We start from the raw sequence: 19,983 nt of genomic DNA on the forward strand, positions 1-19,983 counted from the left end.
GGGTCTGGAGTGGACCTCTAGCAAACTCCAACAGACCTGCAGCTGAAGGTCCTGTCTGTTAGAAGGAAAACTAACAAACAGAAAGGACATCCACACCAAAAACCCATCTGTACATCACCATCATCAAAGACCAAAAGTAGATAAAACCACAAAGATGGGGAAAAAACAGAGCAGAAAAACTGGAAACTTTAAAAAGCTGAGCGCTTCTCCTCCTCCAAAGGAACGCAGCTCTTCACCAGCAATGGAATAAAGCTGGATGGAGAATGACTTTGACGAGTTGAGAGAAGAAGGCTTCAGACAATCAAACTACTCCGAGCTACAGGAGGAAATTCAAACCAAAGGCAAAGAAGTTGAAAACTTTGAAAAAAATTTAGACGAATGTATAACTAGAATAACCAATACAGAGAAGTGCTTAAAGGAGCTGATGGAGCTGAAAGCCAAGGCTCAAGAACTACATGAAGAATGCAAAAGCCTCAGGAGCCGATGCGATCAACTGGAAGAAAGGGTATCAGTGATGGAAGATGAAATGAATTTTAAAACATTTTAATGAGAATTTCTTAATTTTATTCTCTGTGATAGGATGGACTGGTGCAATTTTTTTTTTTTTTTTTAACAAACGAGGGAAATTAAGCTAGAAAGCATAGGTGGGGACCTAGGATTAAATGCCATATATTCTAATTCCAAGTCCAAGTCCAATCCTCTTTTCATTATGCCACCCTGATTTTCAACATCAGTATGGTATCATTGACTTAAAATCTAGGGAAAATAAGTTATAACTAAAATATCTTTACATTATGTCTAACATATGACCTGTATGAGCAAAAATCAGTTTTGAGAAAGCATCAATGAAGCTGAGATCTCCCCAAGTCATTACTTACCCACAAAGAAAAGCATTGTTTCCCAATGAATAAATAATTGCAGGAAATAGTTTGCAGTAATCAATTTGTATGAGTAAAAATAAAGATATTTTATATTGAGTATTTCCTCACAATGACTGTATACTACTCAAAAGCCCTAGCAATTTTTTTTGTCTAACTTTCAAATAATCTAAGATAATGATGGCTAACAGTTGTTTTAGACTAGAACTTGTGAAATATGTTTTATGTTTGTTATTTCATTTATTTCTCTCAATTATACTATGAGAAATTTCCTGTTATCCACTGAGATTTGGCAAGAAGGTATTTATAGAAAACCACAAAGTTAGTTAGCATTTTTGCCTTGATGATTTGACTTTATACCCCATATGTTTAATCACTATAGTCTACAGCCTGTGTACATGAAAGCTTGCAGGTAAATTGTAATAGATATATTGATATGACACAGGTATACTCTGTAATAGATACATTGATCATAACACAAGTATACTCTGACACTGGGAGCTCATCTTTACCCCTGTGTGTGGTACACATAGAAAAACTTATGTCAATCCCTGCCAACTGTACATGAAGATCAGGTAAAGATATCAATGGAACAATGATATAGAATGTGCACAAAATATACGTCTTTACTTTAATAATTCCTCACTGTCAGGAATGGAAGAGAGCCAGTCAACAGCCTCATTTTATGGATGGAAACACTGAGCTCCAAAAGCTGAAAATGCTTCATTGCTTATGTGGAAGTCCAAGAGAAGAACCCAGGTCTGCTTAGTCCCAATCAATTCAGGGACCAAATACTATTTCCAGAGTTTTATCCACTATATCTTATGATACCTGGAAATCAAATTCCTTCTACTATGATATGACCTAGTACGTATATCTATAAAGAACTTTATAGTTTACAAAACACTTTCATAGCCCAGTTGTAGGGCTGTAAGTGGCAGACGGGTCTACTGGCTCAGGGTCTAAATAACGTTTGTTCTGCAGACTTACATAAGAAAGCTAAGGAAACATCTAGCTTCATAGGAGACCAGGGCAGGCTTAGTTCTGCAATCTATATGACATCCAAAGTAGACACCAGACTGTTGATAATGCTGACCTTTTTCTTCCAGCATTTATCAAAACTCACGACCTTAAAAGTATCCCCAATCTTTCTGAAATTGAAGTCTAGATTTGGTCTACAATGGATACATTCCCAGAATCCTTTTAATATTTATAAATGAATTTAAAAATAGTTATTGCTGTTCAAATTTTAAAACCCGCCTATAAGCAAAATATAGAAGATACAATTATGGAATACAGAACAGAACATGCATATTTTTAATGTATGAAATATAAAAGTAAAAATAGAGGTGAAAAATCGCTAGACAAAAATGCTGATTGAGGGAAGTGTATGGAGACAGATGAACTACTTATTGGGTTATGAGATACTGTCTAAAGATGATGACATAGAAATAGTGACTAAAGTACATTACTTTAGGTTACAAAGTTAACAAGCAGAATTTTAAAAAGTCATGATATGCCTATCAAAAACTGGGATGAATGAAAAGGAAATGTAAATTAATACTTTTTTCCTCCATAGGTGGGAGTCAACAAATAATTTTAGCTTGTAAGGCAATAGATGTATATTATTAAGAATTATGATGGCAATAATCTAAAAACAGAAATGGTTCAAATGAGTTCCCACTGAAGTGTGATGCTGATGATAAAAGACTGGTTTTTCATTATAAACTGTTTAATGTCAATGGAATTTATAAGTATTTCTTACAATGACATATATATTAACTTTATTAACTTTCTTTCCTTCTTTATTCTTAGGAAGAGTAAATCATTCCCACATGGGAAGCTGCTAACTTGCCGTCATATGAATGTGAAGTAAATTTGTTTTTAAAATTTTACCTTTTGAAGGTTAGGTATTGGAGAAGAAGTGATTTCATTGAGATTTGTCTCTCTGTGTGATCAATCAGCATTTGCATCTTTATGGTCTTTATGAATCCTTCTCATCATTGTTTTCATTATAAAACTCCACCAAGCAGCTCAGGAGAACACAATGAACCCAGGAGACTCATGGGCTTAACGCAACCTGAACATTTACAAGGTATGTAGCCCGCGAAAGTAATTTAATGTGTATCTAAAGTATTTCTTTCCTTACTTATAAAATAAAGAGAATAATCACCCCTAATTAGACATGTATATTGTGGGAGTCAGATGAGATAATGCATGCAAACATGCTTTATAAACTATAATGTCCTACAAAAATCTAAAGAAACAATTATGATCTGAATGCCCATCCTTCTCCAATATTTACTAAGGCCTAAAAACATAAATCACTTTCTTTGCAACATGCATGGCATATTAAAGAAATACAACCAGTAATTTTTCAAGTTTTTTTCCCCTTGCTTGAAAAATGAAAACATTTCTATTCGTTAGAAATTGATATTAGAAAGTGAAAAGGAGAATGTATAACTTGGAACATACAAAGATTATACACATTCGTTTACATAGTTTATCCCATTAAAACATGGCCTATTGAGCTCAATAGTATGGGTTTGCAACATAAAATGAGATATTTACATAATCTCAAAGAATCTCGTCATAAAGTTTATTAATTATGAAAGAAGAGTAACTTTATAGTAGAAAAATCATTCAGACACTGCCCTTACTCAAGTGATCAAAGTTGACATCATTAATGATAGGCAAATCAACATCATATATACTGGCTGAAAAGATACAATATGCAGAACACAGAATAACGTTTCGATTTCTCTAACAAAAATGCACAACCTGAATATAATCATTATGAGATATCAGACAAACTCAAATTCAGAAACATTCTACAAAATCACTGGTCTATAACTTCCAAAACCAAGAAAGCACTGTTTCAATGTTATGCCTTGAAGAAGACTGAAGAACATGATAATGCATGATCCTGAATGGGTCTTATTATTATTATTATTATTAATGGGAAATAATTTACAAAGCATAAAATTCATGGCTTTTTGTACCCTCAGAGAGAGAGAGAGAGTCAAAATTCATGTTTTTAAAATATAAATTTCAGTAGTTTCTGGTCTGTTAACAAAATTGTGCAATCATCACCGCTATCTAATGCCAGGACATTTCATTATACCAAAAAGAAACTATTCCCTTAGCAGTCACTCCTATCTACCCCCCTACTATCCTCCCAACCCCTGGGAATCACTAATCTAATTTCTGTCTGTGGACTTGCTATTCTTGACATTATATATAAATAAAATCATGCAATATGTGCTTTTTGTGTCTGGCTTCTTTTACTTAGCATTAAGTTTTCAAGGTTAATCCATGTTGTGGCATGTATCAGTATTTCATTCCTTTATACAGCTGAAATATATTCCATTGCATGGATATATGACATTCAATCATTCATAAATTGATGGATAGTTGGGTTGTTTCCAATTTGGGGTTTTATAAATAAGGCTGCTATGTACATTCATGTACAAGTTTTGTGTGGACATGTTTTCAATAATCTTGAATAAATACCTAAGAGTGGAATTGCTAGTAATTCTATGTTTAACTTTTTGAGGAGCTACCAAACTATTTTTCAAAGCAGCTTCACCATTTTACATTTTCATTTACATTTATACCAGCGATGTATAATGGTTCCAATTTCTCTACCTATTCACCAACACGTCACCTGTCTTTTTTATCTTAACCATCCTAATGGATGGGGAGTGATAACTGATGTTGATTTTCATGTCCCTAATAACTAATGGTGTTAGCGGTCTTTTCATGTGCTTATTGACCTTTTGCATTTCTTTGGAGAAATGTCCATTCAAATCCTTTGCTCATTTTTAATCAGATTTATTATTGAACTGTAATTTTTTATATATATTCTAGATACCAGTGTCTCATAAGATACATGATTTGCAAATATTTTCTCTCATTCTGTGAGCTGTCCTTTGAGGCACAAAATCTTTCAATTTTCATAATGTCCAATTTACCTATTATATCTTTTGTCTTGTACTTTTAATGTCATATCTAAGAAATCATTGCCTATTCAAAGGTTACTAAGATTTACACTTTGGGTTTTTTCTAAAAGTTATTTCATTTTTAGATTTTACATGTAACTCTCTGATCCATTTTCAGTTACTTTTTATATGTGGTATCTTATGTTATTTTGCATGTGGATATCCAGTTGTCCCAGCCTGAATTTTCGAAAAGATTATTCTCCGAAGAATTGTCTTGGCACCCTTGTCAAAAATCAATTCGCCATATATCCAAAATATACAAGGAACTCAAACAATTCAGTGACAAAAAAACTATTAAAATTGGGACAAGGACCTGAATAAACATTTCTTGAATGAAGACATACAAATGGTCAACAGATATATGAAAAAATGCTCAACATCTCTAATTACTAGAGAAATGTGAATTAAAACCACAATAGTATATCACTTTGCACCTGTTAGATTGGCTAGGATCAAAAAGATGAAAGATAACAAGTGTTGGTGAGAATGTGAGAAAAAGGAATATGTACACTGTTGGTGGGATTGTGAATTAGTACAGTCATTTTGGAAAATGACATAAAAGTTTCTCAAAAACTAAAAATTGAATTACCATGCTATCCAGCAATCCCACTTCTGGGTATACATCCAAAGAAACTGAAACTGGTAGTCAACGAGATGTCTGCATTTCCATGTTCATTGCAGCATTATTCACAATAGCCAAGATATAGAAATAACCAAAGTGCCCATCAACAGAGGAATGAATTTTTATTATTATTATACTTTAAATTTTAGGGTACACGTGCACAACCTGCAGGTTTGTTACCTATGTATACATGTGCCATGTTGGTGTGCTGCACCCATTAACTCGTCATTTAGCATTAGGTATATCTCCTAATGCTATCCCTCCCCCTGCCCCCACCCCACAACAGTCCCCGGTGTGTGATGTTCCCCTTCCTGTGTCCAAGTGTTCTCATTGTTCAATTCCCACCTATGAGTGAGAACATGCGGTGTTTGGTTTTTTGTCCTTGCGACAGTTTGCTGAGAATGATGGTTTCCAGCTTCATCCATGTCCCTACAAAGGACATGAACTCATCATTTTTTATGGCTGCATAGTATTCCATGGTGTATATGTGCCACATTTTCTTAATCCAGTCTATCATTGTTGGACATTTGGGTTGGTTCCAAGTCTTTGCTATTGTGAATAATGCCGCAATAAACATATGTGTGCATGTGTCTTTATAGCAGCATGATTTATAATCCTTTGGGTATATACCCAGTAATGGGATGGCTGGGTCAAATGGTATTTCTAGTTCTAGATCCCCGAGGAATCGCCACACTGTCTCCCACAATGGTTGAACTAGTTAACAGTCCCACCAACAGTGTAAGTTTACCTATTTCTCCACATCCTCTCCAGCACCTGTTGTTTCCTGACTTTTCAATGATCGCCATTCTAACTGGTGTGAGATGGTATCTCATTGTGGTTTTGATTTGCATTTCTCTGATGGCCAGTGATGATCATTTTTTCATGTGTTTTTTGGCCGCATAAATGTCTTCTTTTGAGAAGCCTATGTTCATATCCCTTGCCCACTTTTTGATGGGGTTGTTTTTTTCTTGTAAATTTGTTTGAGTTCATTGCAGATTCTGGATATTAGCCCTTTGTCAGATGAGTAGGTTGCAAAAATTTTCTCTCATTCTGTAGGTTGCCTGTTCACTCTGATGGTGGTTTCTTTTGCTGTGCAGAAGCTCTTTAGTTTAATTAGTTGCCATTTGTCAATTTTGGCTTTTGTTGCCATTGCTTTTGGTGTTTTAGACATGAAGTCCTTGCCCATGCCTATGTCCTGAATGGTATTGCCTAGGTTTTCTTCTAGGGTTTTTATGGTTTTAGGTCTAACATGTAAGTCTTTAATCCATCTTGAATTAATTTTTGTATAAGGTGTAAGGAAGGGATCCAGTTTCAGCTTTCTACATATGGCTAGCCAGTTTTCCCAGCACCATTTATTAAATAGGGAATCCTTTCCCCATTGCTTGTTTTTGTCAGGTTTGTCAAAGATCAGATAGTTGTAGATATGTGGCATTATTTCTGAGGGCTCTGTTCTGTCCCATTGGTCTATATCTTTGTTTTTGTACCAGTACCATGCTGTTTTGGTTACTGTAGCCTTGTAGTATAGTTTGAAGTCAGGTAGCATGATGCCTCCAGCTTTGTTCTTTTGGCTTAGGATTGACTTGGCAATGCGGGCTCTTTTTTGGTTCCATATGAACTTTAAAGTAGTTTTTTCCAATTCTGTGAAGAAAGTCATTGGTAGCTTGATGGGGATGGCATTGAATCTATAAATTACCTTGGGCAGTATGGCCATTTTCACAATATTGATTCTTCCTATCCATGAGCAAGGAATGTTCTTCCATTTGTTTGTATCCTCTTTTATTTCATTGAGCAGTGGTTTGTAGTTCTCCTTGAAGAGGTCCTTCACATCCCTTGTAAGTTGGATTCCTAGGTATTTTATTCTCTTTGAAGCAATTGTGAATGGGAGTTCACTCATGATTTGGCTCTCTGTTTGTTACTGGTGTATAAGAATGCTTGTGATTTTTGTATATTGATTTTGCATCCTGAGACTTTGCTGAAGTTGCGTATCAGCTTAAGGAGATTTTGGGCTGAGATGATGGGATTTTCTAGATATACAAGCATGTCATCTGCAGACAGGGACAATTTGACTTCCTCTTTTCCTAATGGAATGCCCTTTATTTCCTTATCCTGCCTGATTGCCCTGGCCAGAACTTCCAACACTATGTTGAATAGGAGTGGTGAGAGAGGGCATCCTTGTCTTGTGCCAGTTTTCAAAGGGAATGCTTCCAGTTTTTGCCCATTCAGTATGATATTGGCTGTGGGTTTGTCATAGATAGCCCTTATTATTTTGAAATACGTCCCATCAATACCTAATTTATTGAGAGTTTTTAGCATGAAGTGTTGTTGAATTTTGTCAAAGGCCTTTTCTGCATCTATTGAGATAATCATGTGGTTTTTGTCTTTGGTTCTGTTTATATGCTGGATTACATTTATTGACTTGTGTATGTTGAACCAGCCTTGCATCCCAGGGATGAAGCCCACTTGATCATGGTGGATAAGCTTTTTGATGTGTTGCTGGATTCGGTTTGCCAGTATTTTATTGAGGATTTTTGCATCAATGTTCATCAAGGATATTGGTCTAAAATTCTCTTTTTTCGTTGTGTCTCTTCCAGGCTTTGGTGTCAGGATGATGCTGGCCTCATAAAAATTAGTTAGGGAGGATTCCCTCATTTTCTATTGATTGGAATAGTTTCAGAAGGAATGGTACCAGCTCCTCCTTGTACCTCTGGTAGAATCTGGCTGTGAATCCATCTGGTCCTGGACTTTTTTTTGTTTGGTAAGCTATTAATTATTGCCTCAATTTCAGAGCCTGTTATTGGTCTATTCAGAGATTCAACTTCTTCCTGGTTTAGTCTTGGGAGAGTGTATGTGTTGAAGAATTTATCCCTGTCTTCTAGATTTTCTAGTTTATTTGCTTAGAGGTGTTTATAGTATTCTCTGATGGTAGTTTGTATTTCTGTGGGATTGGTGGTGATATCCCCTTTGTCATTTTTTATTGCATCTATTTGATTCTTCTCTCTTTTCTTCTTTATTAGTCTTGCTAGCCGTCTATCAATTTTGTTGATCTTTTCAAAAAACCAGCTCCCGGATTCACTGATTTTTTGAAGGGGTTTTTGTGTCTTTATCTCCTTCAGTTCCGCTCTGATCTTAGTTATTTCTTGCCTTCTGCTAGCTTTTGAATGTGTTTGCTCTTGCTTCTCTAGTTCTTTTAATTGTGATGTTAGGGTTTCAATTTTAGATCTTTCCTGCTTCTCTTGTGAGTATTTAGTGCTATAAATTTCCCTCTACACACTGCTTTGAATGTGTCCCAGAGATTCTGGTATGTTGTGTCTTTGTTCTCGTTGGTTTCAAAGAACATCTTTATTTCTGCCTTCATTTTGTTATGTACCCAGTAGTCATTCAGGAGCAGGTTGTTCAGTTTCCATGTAGTTGTGTGCTTTTGAGTGAGTTTCCTAATCATGAGTTCTAGTTTGATTGCACTGTGGTCTGAGAGACAGTTTGTTATAATTTCTGTTCTTTTACATTTGCTGAGGAGTGCTTTACTTCCAACTATGTGGTCAATTTTGGAATAGGTGTGGTGTGGTGCTGAGAAGAATGTATATTCTGTTGATTTCGGGTGGAGAGTTCTGTAGATGTCTATTAGGTCTGCTTGGTGCAGAGCTGAGTTCAATTCCTGGATATCTTTTTTAACTTTCTGTCTCGTTGATCTGTCTAATGTTGACAGTGGGGTGTTAAAGTCTCCCATTATTATTATGTGGGAGTCTAAGTCTCTTTGTAGGTCACTAAGGACTTGCTTTATGAATCTGGGTGCTCCTGTATTGGGTGCACATTTATTTAGGATAGTTAGTTCTTCTTGTTGAATTGATCCCTTTACCATTATGTAATGGCCTTCTTTGTCTCTTTTGATCTTTGTTGATTTAAAGTCTGTTTTATCCGAGACTAGGGTTGCAACCCCTGCCTTTTTTTGTTTTCCATTTGCTTGGTAGATCTTCCTCCATCCCTTTATTTTGAGCCTATGTGTTTGTCTGCACGTGAGATGGGTTTCCTGAATACAGCACACTGATGGGTCTTGACTCTTTATCCAATTTGCCAGTCTGTGTCTTTTAATTGGAGTATTTAGTCCATTTACATTTAGGGTTAGTATTGTTATGTGTGAATTTGATCCTGTCACTATGATGTTAGCTGGTTATTTTGCTCATTAGTTGATGCAGTTTCTTCCTAGCCTTGATGGTCTTTACAATTTGGCATGTTTTTGCAGTGGCTGGTACTGGTTGTTCCTTTCCATGTTTAGTGCTTCCTTCAGGAGTTCTTTTAGGGCAGGCCTGGTGGTGACAAAATCTCTCAGCATTTGCTTGTCTGTAAAGGATTTTATTTCTCCTTCACTTATGAAGCTTAGTTTGGCTGGATATGAAATTCTGGGTTGAAAATTCTTTTCTTTAAGAATGTTGAATATTGGCCCCCACTCTCTTCTGGCTTATAGAGTTTCTCCATGGGCGTAGGACCCTCCGAGCCATGTGCAGGATATAATCTCCTGTTGTGCTGTTTGCTAAGCCCGATGGAAAAGCGTAGTATTAGGGTGGGAGTGACCCGATTTTCCAGGTGCCATCTGTCACCCCTTTCTTTGACTAGGAAAGGGAATTCCCTGACCCCTTGCACTTCCTGGGTGAGGTGATGCCTCGCCCTGCTTCGGCTCACGCACGGTGCGCTGCACCCACTGTCCTGCACCCACTGTCCAGCACTCCCCAGTGAGACGAACCCAGTACCTCAGTTGGAAATGCAGAAATCACCCATCTTCTGTGTCACTCATGCTGGTAGATGTAGACTGGAGCTGTTCCTATTCGGCCATCTTGGCTCCACCCCTCTAGAGGAATGAATTTTTAAAATGTGATATACACAATGGAATATTATTCAGCCTTAAAAGAAGGATATTCTGTCATTTGTGACAACATAGATGAAACTAGAAGATATTATGCTAGGTGCAATAAACCAAGCACAGAAAGACAAATAAATACTACGTGATCTCACTTATATGTGGAATCTAAAAGAATCAAACTCATAGTAGGAGAGAGTAGAATGGTTGTTTCCAGAAGCTATGGGTCGGGAAGTGGAGAGGGAAAGGGAAGACACTGGCCAAAGGGTGCAAAGTTTCAGTTAGAAAAGAAGAATCTGTTTTGGTGATCTATTGCACAGCATGAGTACTGTTAATAATAACGTATTCTATATTTCAACATAGCTAAAAAAGTGGATTTTAAATGTTCTCCAAAAAAATGATAAGTATTTGAAGTGATTGATATGTTAACCAGATTTGATCATTCCACAATGTATACATCCATCAAAACATCACATTGTACTCCATAAATGTATACAATTATTATTTGTCAATTAAAAATAAAATAAAACTATATTTCAAAAAATCAATTCACCATAAAAGAATTTATTTTTGGACTATCCTTATGTCTCTATTATACTGTTTTGATTACTATAGCTTTGTAGTAAATTTTAATATTGGAAAATGTGAGTTTCTTTCTCAGATAGCCAACTGAGACTTTGATAGGGAATATGTTGAATCTGTAGATCAATTTGAGGAATATGACCATTATAACAATAGTGTATCTTGCTCTTTGGGGTCAGTTTTCTATAAAGGCATTGATGGCAAATGGCACAGATGGCAAAATTTGAATGTGGCCTTAAGGCAAAGAGTACATATGAAGTTCTTTGGTCTATTCTTGCAATAGAAAATTCAAAAGAAAAAGTTATAAACTTAAAAAGGTGTTCTTCCTGACTGTTGTGTAAAGTGGGTACTAGTAACGTGATAAATCTGTTCCTATGAAGGAGGTCAGCCTCCAAAAGAGCAACCTCAAAGCACAGCAGTTACTTCAGAATGTTAAATGCCATAGAGAATCTGAGGGGATTTGCCACACAGGCTGAGTTGTTCAGTAAATTCTCAAGTAAACCATAAGGCTGTGCTCACTTACCCCATTCCCAACACACACATATTACAAATTAAGTTGTTTAATCTGAAACCTTGGAAATGTGATTTAACCTGAGACTCATTTACCTTCTGTAAAATGGAAGTAAATAGCGATACCAATAGGTTTTTCTAGGATCTGTGCTAGATGAGCATTCACGACAGATAAAGTGGGGGACATCTGGAAGATTATAATTGGAAAAGTGGTGCAAAAGCAGTAGTACATAATGGGAACTCAAGTTCACCAGGCTTTTTGAAATATTTCTCAAGAACAAAATATCAATGTTAAACAGGCTTTCTCCCTCTTTTTCAGTAGCTGTAATTTTATTGGACTCTCCTCAGAAAATACCATGGACTATTCTAAAGTTCCACTAAAGTGAAGAGCTGGACTCATCATAGAGGGAAAAGTGGGACTGACAATGAGGCTGCTAAATAACTCACATTAACTTGGATTTTTCTACTTGCTCTCTGAGATGCTCCCTGACAAGTCAGTGAATAAAGGTCATCTTCACTCACTGTCAAGGAATTATACCCACTTCAAGTCAGAAATGGGACTCTAGAGATCATCTTTACCTCACCTGAGAAACTTATACAGTAATTTTTTTTTAATTTAAAGATGAGTCTTAAATAAGGTTCCCAAATAATAAGTTGGTAGCATTTAAAAATTTTTCATATTTTGCCTCATAATGACAAAAACTTTATCACAGTCCGGATTTTGAAATTTGGGAACTTCTCATCTGGACTAGTGATCTTCCCATTACTCCAAGTAGCCAAGAGGACTCCATGAGCATGATCCAGGGGTCATTGTGGAAAGAGGAGTACAAGGAAACCAGGCTGCCACATACCCACATTCCCACTTCATCTAACAGCACACTTCTTTTATCGGTTTAATATGTCATGTTTTTACATAGCATTTTCCAACTCTACTGATGCAGGACAGGCAAGCCCCAAAATTGCGGCTTAGCCAAGGAGGGTTCTTGGTTTCGTGCAGGAAAGAATTCAAGGGCGAGCTGATGGTGTTACACAGCATCTTTTACTGAAGTGGCAGTATACAGCAGCAGCACAGCTACTGCTCCTTGCTGAGTTAAACGGGGCTAGCCCATAGGCAGTGTGCCCAGAGTAGCAGCTCAGAGGCAGTTCTGCACTCATATTTTACCCACTTTTAATTATATGCAAATTCAGGGACAGCTTATGCAGAAATTTCTAGGATGAAGGTGGTAACTATGGGGTTGTCAGGTCATTGCCATGGAAAGGGGCAGTAATGTCTGGGTGTTGCCATGGCAATGGTAAACTGACATGGCATACTGTGAGGCATGTCTTATGGAGAAGTCCTTATGCTCTGGACCTGTTTTGGCTAGTTCCCAATTTGTTCCAGTGTCCAAGCTCTGCCTCAGGAGTCTAGTCCCACCTCTTCCCTGACTACTACTTACTCTTATGACCTTGAAAAACTTATTTCTCTGTACCTCACTTCATTCATTTTTAAATTCTTGATTGTAATAATACTTGTCTCATTAACTTGTTTTGAAATTTAAATGAGTTAGTATACTTATAGCAGTTACACTAGTACCCGAGGCATAGTATGTGCTCAGTAAGTATGCTTACTGTTATTGCTATTATCATCACCTTTGCAGGGTGATTCCTTTAATTCTAATATAATAGAATTATTATAATAGGAAAGAGAGATTGGGCTCAACTCTGGACACAACAGGGACAAGTGGGGATTTATAGCCAAGAAGAATAATGAGGGGGTCAGTGCATAGAAAACTTAATAGAAGACATTAAGGGTAGGGGGGATTCTTGATAAAAAGACCTAATAGGATTCTTACTAAAGGCAGGCTAAGCAATTATATGTCAGAGGTGGAGGATAAGGAACTTTATCAGATATCAAGGGTGATCAGATATTAAGAATTGGGGGGGATGATTATGATTTAGTAGGATTCTTTACTAAAACTAAATTTAGTAAGTTCTTTACTAAATTGGGAGCTGGGGAGGCCAAAGACAAAATGAGGGCCAATGCCAAGGCCTAGTCAAGAAAAGGGTCCAGAGGACCTTAAATAAGTTTGATCAAGAAGATAAGAGTCTTTCGGTTGGGCACAGAGGTTCATGCCTGTAATTGCAGCACTTTGGGAGGCCAAGGCAGGCAGATCACTTGAGGTCAGGAGTTCAAGACCAGCCTGGCCAATATGGTGAAATCCGGTCTGTACTAAAAATGCAAAAATTAGCCAGGTGTGGTGGCATGCTCCTGTAATCCCAGCTACTTGGGAGGCTGAGTCAGGAAAATCCCTTGAACACAGAAGGCAGAGGTTGCAGTGAGCTGAGATCACGCCACTGCACTCCAGCCTAGGTGATAAAGCAAGACTCTGTCTCCAAAAAAAAAAAGAAGACGGTCTTTCTCAAACTACATGAGAGCAGTCAGTTTTTCATGGACTGTGGCATATTCAAGATAAAATACAGTCTCTAAGACAGAGTAAATGCTCATTAATATTTATGAGATGATCAAATGAAGATTAAAAAAAGCCAAGGCTTATAGCGGATAAATAGCTTGTACAAGGTCACATGGAGAGTGGTGTAGCTGGCAATTAGTTCAGGTGTGCAAGATTCCCAAAGTTTCAGCTCTCAGAGATAGTATGATGATCTTGTCCCCAGATCATACCAGAATAAGTTTCAGCTATCTCTTTACTTTAGAAGGGAAATAAATGTGAAATTCAGCCTTAGATACTAATACTTCCATTAGTAGTATAAAGTGTCCTCCAATTCTACCTACAACACCTGCAAGAGCTTCTTCCAGAGTTTTCTCATAGTCACTCTATCTGAAACCTAGCCCATTCCAAAATCAGCACTTTTGTAGCCTTTATTAAAGAATTCAAATGACTCATGGTTTAATTAAGGAACAATTAAAACTTATTAAACCATGGCCAAAAGATTGCTGGCTTGTCTATTGCAAGTTATTGTATGAAATGAAAAATGCCACTGATTATGTACGTAATTGTAGTTCAAAGCAAAGCTACCATCTCATTCTTCATCCATCAGCCTGGGTTTGGGGACTAGCTATTAAAATGGCATGTGCAATTACCTGTCTTTCACAAGAAAAGAATCCCCATGGCTCGCAGACATTTCTGACCTCTTTCTGGAGTTGTACTACTTAGAAATTGCTATTTCACAATTGAGGCAGGAATTCTTGAAAATATATAAGGCAGGATCAAAGTGAGCTGGACGGACACCAGGTCACTTCTTTTCCCTACATCTGACTGCCTTGGCCACTTCAGTACTATGAGAGCAACAGCCATAGTCCTACTCTTGGCTCTGACACTTGCAACCATGTTCAGTGAGTATCTCTGATAATACTGCCCCTGCCCTTGTACTAATAGCTCATGCAGTCTTCTGCCTATGTAATTCTGGGATATATGTAATTCATCACATAAATAATAAGGGAAACTTTTTAAAATGAATCTTTTGCCTCAACCAACGAATTGCTAAATCACATCACCTCAGGGGTAGAGTGGATGTTAACAGTCATCTAAAGTCAAATGCTTATTCATGAGAATACTTTGTATAATTTTTTAGGGAGAGGATCATCCAGACTCTGCTTTGACTTGATGTCACCATTTACAGGGAACTCATTTATTCATAAAACATTACAATCAATTGTTTGGCACCATGGGCTATTCTTCTATTATTGAGTTAAAATTGGCCTCCCTAGAATTTTCAACCACTGTTCCAACATCTGTCATCTACACCTGTCCACAATAGCACATCTCCCTAAATATGACTCACTTATTTCTTCTGTCTCTACTGAGCTCTGGTTATGAAGTAAAAAAGATTAAGACAAAATTCTCATTCATCGTGGCATCTTTTCCATTTCTTTGACTAGATTCCACTCCCACTCCAAAAAAGAAAAAAAATTTAAAGATACGTGTGAAGAGCTTCAACCTTTGATACAATGCTGATACACAGTTGTGAAGAGAGACTTACATTTTTATGACAGGCTGAAAGCTAAAGCATAAATCAAAGATTCTTTTTCTAGTAAGATTAGGTTCTTCCAGAGTTTAATATTGCCTTGTCTTTGTTTTTCTTCCAGGTATAGAATGTGCCAAACAGACGAAACAGATGGTCAGTACACCCATCCTACTTTTATGTAATTTTAAAGTCAATATCAGTAAGGAAATATTTGATACTACACAGTAATTAAATTTCTATATGTTTGAATATTTACTTTATGTGTATGAAAACTGGTTTTATTTCAAAAATTGTAGGCAGATCTTTCTAAAATGGAGAGAGTAGAACAAGGTGGTGAGACACTAGCAACAAATTTAGAAAGGCCTGGTCTTTAATTCCACGTTTTTGATCACGTGGCCATGGGCAACATACTTATAACATTATTCCAAGACTTGAAGCCATAGTATTTGAAAAGAGCTTAGCACAGTGCCTGGCATAGAGTGAAACTCAATAAGGGCAAGTCATGATTCTTATAATTTTTAAATGGGTCACACATATCTTTGTTCTCTGTCTTAGAAAATAAGGACTTTAATTTAGCCTTCCATTCATGACTCAGGTTACAGTAATGAGTATTGTTGAAAAAATCTAGGTGTGGTAGCAAAAATCTTATTTGGTACTCAATTTGAGTTCCACTCTAAACTCTGTTGCTTATTAACTGTGTGACACTGGGGCCTGGGAAATTTATTTTATGTCTTTGAGGCTTCTGTTTTACCTATTAAAGAAAATAATAGGGTTAAGGATATAAATTTTGGAGTCAGATGGGCCTGAGTTCAAGCCATCCTTCATGATTTAGTAGCTGTGAGAGGATGTAAAGGATTACTGAAAGTTACGAGCTTGGTAGTTTCCCATCACATTGTTGAGTATCACATAAACTCTGTCTCCCTGGGATTTGAGCAGGCAAGAAGAGGAAGTGAAATCACGCTGGCATATACTTATCATCAGGCACTGCTGTTTCTATTCTGCTGCACTAGCCTCTAAGGTCCTCCTGCCATTATGCCATGCATACCTATCTTTGCATCAGCTCCACTAACCTTAGCCCGATAACAGGAGGTGTATGGAAGCTGATGAATGAATGAATGAATTAATTAATGAAGCACATCTGGAGGGAAGGAAGAATTCAACTTTAAGTTTGAGTATATTCCAAGCTATTCAAGTAGAGATAGTCCACAATTAATAAAATATCATGCCTAGACCTCTCAGACAAAACAAGCTGGAGATGCAGTCTTTTGTATACAGCTGGAGTTTGTGTAGACCTGAAAGAGAAATCAAAAGATAAAAAATTGTGCCTATTATTCATTCAATATTTTCCATGCAATGTAGTGCTAAGCATTGTACACATATCTTTTCATTTACATATTTTTTACTTCCACCCTACAATGTGGTTATTATCTTTATTTTACAGATAAAAAAACTAAAGTTTAGAGAGGTAAAAAAATTTTTACAGGGTCACATAGAATTTGCATTCAGATGTGTTTGACTTTACTCTATATGCTCTTCTATATGCTCATAGATTTTTTAAAAAATATGAAAAACTTTTCTTGGGAATTGCCTACCTACTTCCACAGGCTTTGCTCTAGGAATTTAGAACACTGGTTCCCAACTACAATATTAAGATATATTCATCTATGTGCTGGTGAAGTATATAACAAGTAAATTGTTACCAATAATTAGTAGTAAAAATCTGTCAGTAATGTACTAGTCATTAAAATGATAGTAGTTATCCCTACATTTCACACTTGCATTCATATTGAGCTTTTTCAGTGAAAGACAGAAATAGTAGGATAATTCCTACAGAAAATATATCACACTTCTGAGTACTCCCATGAGAATGGTTGCATTTGAGAATATGCCATGTATTTTAAGAACTGATACATCAACCAGTATTGTGAGAAAAAAATCTATTTTTACATTAAGGTATGATTTGGGAACCAACTATGGTAAAGATGTTTATCAGTCATGATTTTATATCTGACATAAAACATCTTTACATTTGAAATGTCTTGAAGGGGGTAGATGAGAACCAACAATTGTAATAAGAAACATGCATTGAGAGCCCTCTGAGCTTGCTTGAAAAATCCTAAATCCTGATAATAAAGATTTGGTTGAAAGAGTTGAAGGTTTTTAATATGTTTTTTCAGGTTGACTGCAGTCATTATAAAAAGTTACCACCAGGACAACAGAGATTTTGTCATCATATGTATGATCCAATTTGTGGATCTGATGGCAAAACTTATAAAAATGATTGCTTCTTCTGTTCTAAAGTTAAGTAAGTATTAAAATGTTTTCTTTTTCATATTTAAGGTAAAAGTATATATTAAGACAAATTAGAAGGTGTGATGTAGGGCCTAAGGAATATGTGAATCATATCATACTGTCTCTAACAAACAGAACCTTCCAGTTGGTAGAATTTGGGAGTCCCTGATATCACAATATCCCCACATATTCTGGAAGTAAGAGTGAATCAGAGAATTCTAAAATCTCCAAGTTGAAAGGAAATATATGGTCATCTAGTTCAACTTCCACTTGATAATCTATTGCTTAAACTTCCTCTACAGAAAAGTTACCAAGTAGTCTCACAGTCCACCTGGATTATTTCCAGGGTCAAGGAGTATCCTCCCTCCTAAGCATCCCATCCACATCTGGTAGAATGAGCCATGTTTTTGTTCAGCTTTAGCAACTAGGCTTGGATATGTTAGAGCCCCCTAATGCCTGGTACAAAGGGGATAATATCTGCAAAATCTGAAGAACTTTTTCTGTTTCAGAGTATTATATCTCAACAGAATATATGTTGGTGCTATAGTAAAAATTACACTTAAAAAATCAGGTAGCCAAAAGTAGTTTAAAGATTATAAACTAATCATCTCCAAGATATATTAACATTAGTTCAAAAATTATAAAATAATGAATGATATACTGGAATGTATAAAAACATATGGGTCATTTTAAATATTTTAAAAAATATAGATGAATTAGATGAAATACAAACGAGCATCTAACATATGTGGCATATTGTTCTGGTTCTTTTTTTAATAAAAGAAAAATAACAATTTTTATGAAAAGAGACTTCTAAATGTGTGTTTCCCTTAAATTAAAAAAAAATTAAAACATTTCTGTTTTCAGGGATATAAATTGTGATGTATTTGAGCATCATCCTTATATAATCAGCACCAGTTTCAAAAATATTTCTAAATTGCAGTCACTCCTTTTAAAAACATCAATAAGCGGGGAAACTTGAATACATTTTTGGGATTCATTAGTGAAGTTTGGATGCTAATGAAATGCCTATGGGCTCAGCATTTCTCATTTGTTGCTATATTCTCTCCACAGGAAAACTGACGGCACACTTAAATTTGTACATTTTGGAAAATGTTAAATCTATCTTGTGAGTCCAAAATATCTTTTAATGCATCTATTCACAAGAGTCACATTTCTGTTCCCATATTATCTATGCCACATTGCCTACTCATCACCATATGTAGATTTCTTTGTAGAATAAAGCAGATATAAGGGAAATAAATGTGCACCTGACTCTTTTTTTGGGGGGGAACTGAGTTGAATTTTCTAGATTTGTTTTTTACTTTTGGGTGCTGTCTAATAGATAATTTTAGGGAGAAAAAAAGGGCCAATTAAGACTAGTAATAGGAACTAGAAAATTAAAGGCCCTGAAGCTGATGCACTGTTCTTACCCAGGCTAGGAAAACACTCCATGTACATTACTCAGTTATTGAACATCCATGAAATGTGAACAGATAAAGAGAGACCCTTCAGGCACAAGAATCAGAAAACACTGCTTTGCTAGATGTCTCTTGGGTTTAAGACACTGAGAATTGCTCTGGATTGGGACTGCTCTCCAACTGTTTCCTACCAGAGAATATGTTTGTAAAATGCGGCTGGTAAAAAAAAATGGTTGGTAAAGTTGTGCAATTTCTCACATATTAGTTGACGTCTCTGATACTTTTCTTTCTTGAATGTTTGATCTCAGGTCTGAGACCTGAAATTTAGCTTATCCTACTATTATATCATAAGTTTCTTAAAGACCAGAGAATATGCCTTGTAAATCTTTGTAATCCATTTGTGCATATATTCAATCACAAGTATCTATTAAGGCCTACTTTGTCAGTGTCAGTGTTCTGCCTTGGAGAATACAATGTTGAGCAGAGTAGATATGGTCTCGCCACCTTGGAGTTTATATTCTGTGAAGAAATTTCCTATGCTTGGTACAGCATCTTGCATAAAACTGATATAGAAACATGCTCAATAAATTTAATTGAAATTAAGCAACATTTTCATTAGATTATAACAGAGTCACCCATGAATTTAACATATGAAAACCTACCTATATATTATCTATAAAGAGGGAGAAAAAGAAAATGTAGTCAATCCATTTTTGAGCTATGATCTGGTCTTGCAAATTCATCAGAGATTTAGGGAACAAGACTGTCTATCAGAATGACCCATGTTAACCTCCACAGAATTCAGGTACAATGGTGTTTGTTGTTTCTTTTCTTTTCTTTCTATTTTACATTTTTTTTAAACTTT

The 19,983-nt window shown here is 36.1% G+C and overlaps 1 protein-coding gene and 1 long non-coding RNA gene across 3 annotated transcripts in view; one reads left to right on the top strand and one right to left on the bottom strand.

Annotated features, from left to right (window-relative positions):
* FBXO38-DT (FBXO38 divergent transcript) overlaps positions 1-19,983 on the bottom strand; it is a 115,544-nt gene that overhangs the window by 52,589 nt on the left and 42,972 nt on the right. The window lies entirely within an intron of this gene.
* On the top strand, positions 410-18,957 carry SPINK9 (serine peptidase inhibitor Kazal type 9). 2 transcript variants are annotated; one of them, XM_017009709.2, is made up of 4 exons: positions 410-2,973; positions 15,527-15,558; positions 17,583-17,710; positions 18,772-18,957. In XM_017009709.2, exons 1-4 carry the CDS (start codon positions 2,856-2,858, stop codon positions 18,815-18,817), a joined length of 324 nt encoding a protein of 107 aa, XP_016865198.1. In that variant the 5' UTR covers positions 410-2,855; the 3' UTR covers positions 18,818-18,957. The 2 variants fall into 2 exon arrangements, with proteins under 2 accessions (XP_016865198.1, NP_001035523.1); NM_001040433.2 differs by lacking the exon at positions 410-2,973 and adding an exon at positions 14,664-14,773.

This window comes from Homo sapiens, chromosome 5 (assembly GCF_000001405.40).
Source record: "Homo sapiens chromosome 5, GRCh38.p14 Primary Assembly".
Taxonomy (NCBI): domain Eukaryota; kingdom Metazoa; phylum Chordata; class Mammalia; order Primates; family Hominidae; genus Homo; species Homo sapiens.

What these genes read in the sequence shown, in the direction of transcription:
- SPINK9 (XM_017009709.2), top strand. Translation starts at nt 2,856, where the DNA reads ATGGTCTTTATGAATCCTTCTCATCATTGTTTTCATTATAAAACTCCA. An exon ending in GCAACCTGAACATTTACAAG is followed by an intron (nt 2,974 to 15,526) that starts GTATGTAGCCCG and finishes TTTTTCTTCCAG; the next exon opens with GTATAGAATGTGCCAAACAG. An exon ending in CCAAACAGACGAAACAGATG is followed by an intron (nt 15,559 to 17,582) that starts GTCAGTACACCC and finishes ATGTTTTTTCAG; the next exon opens with GTTGACTGCAGTCATTATAA.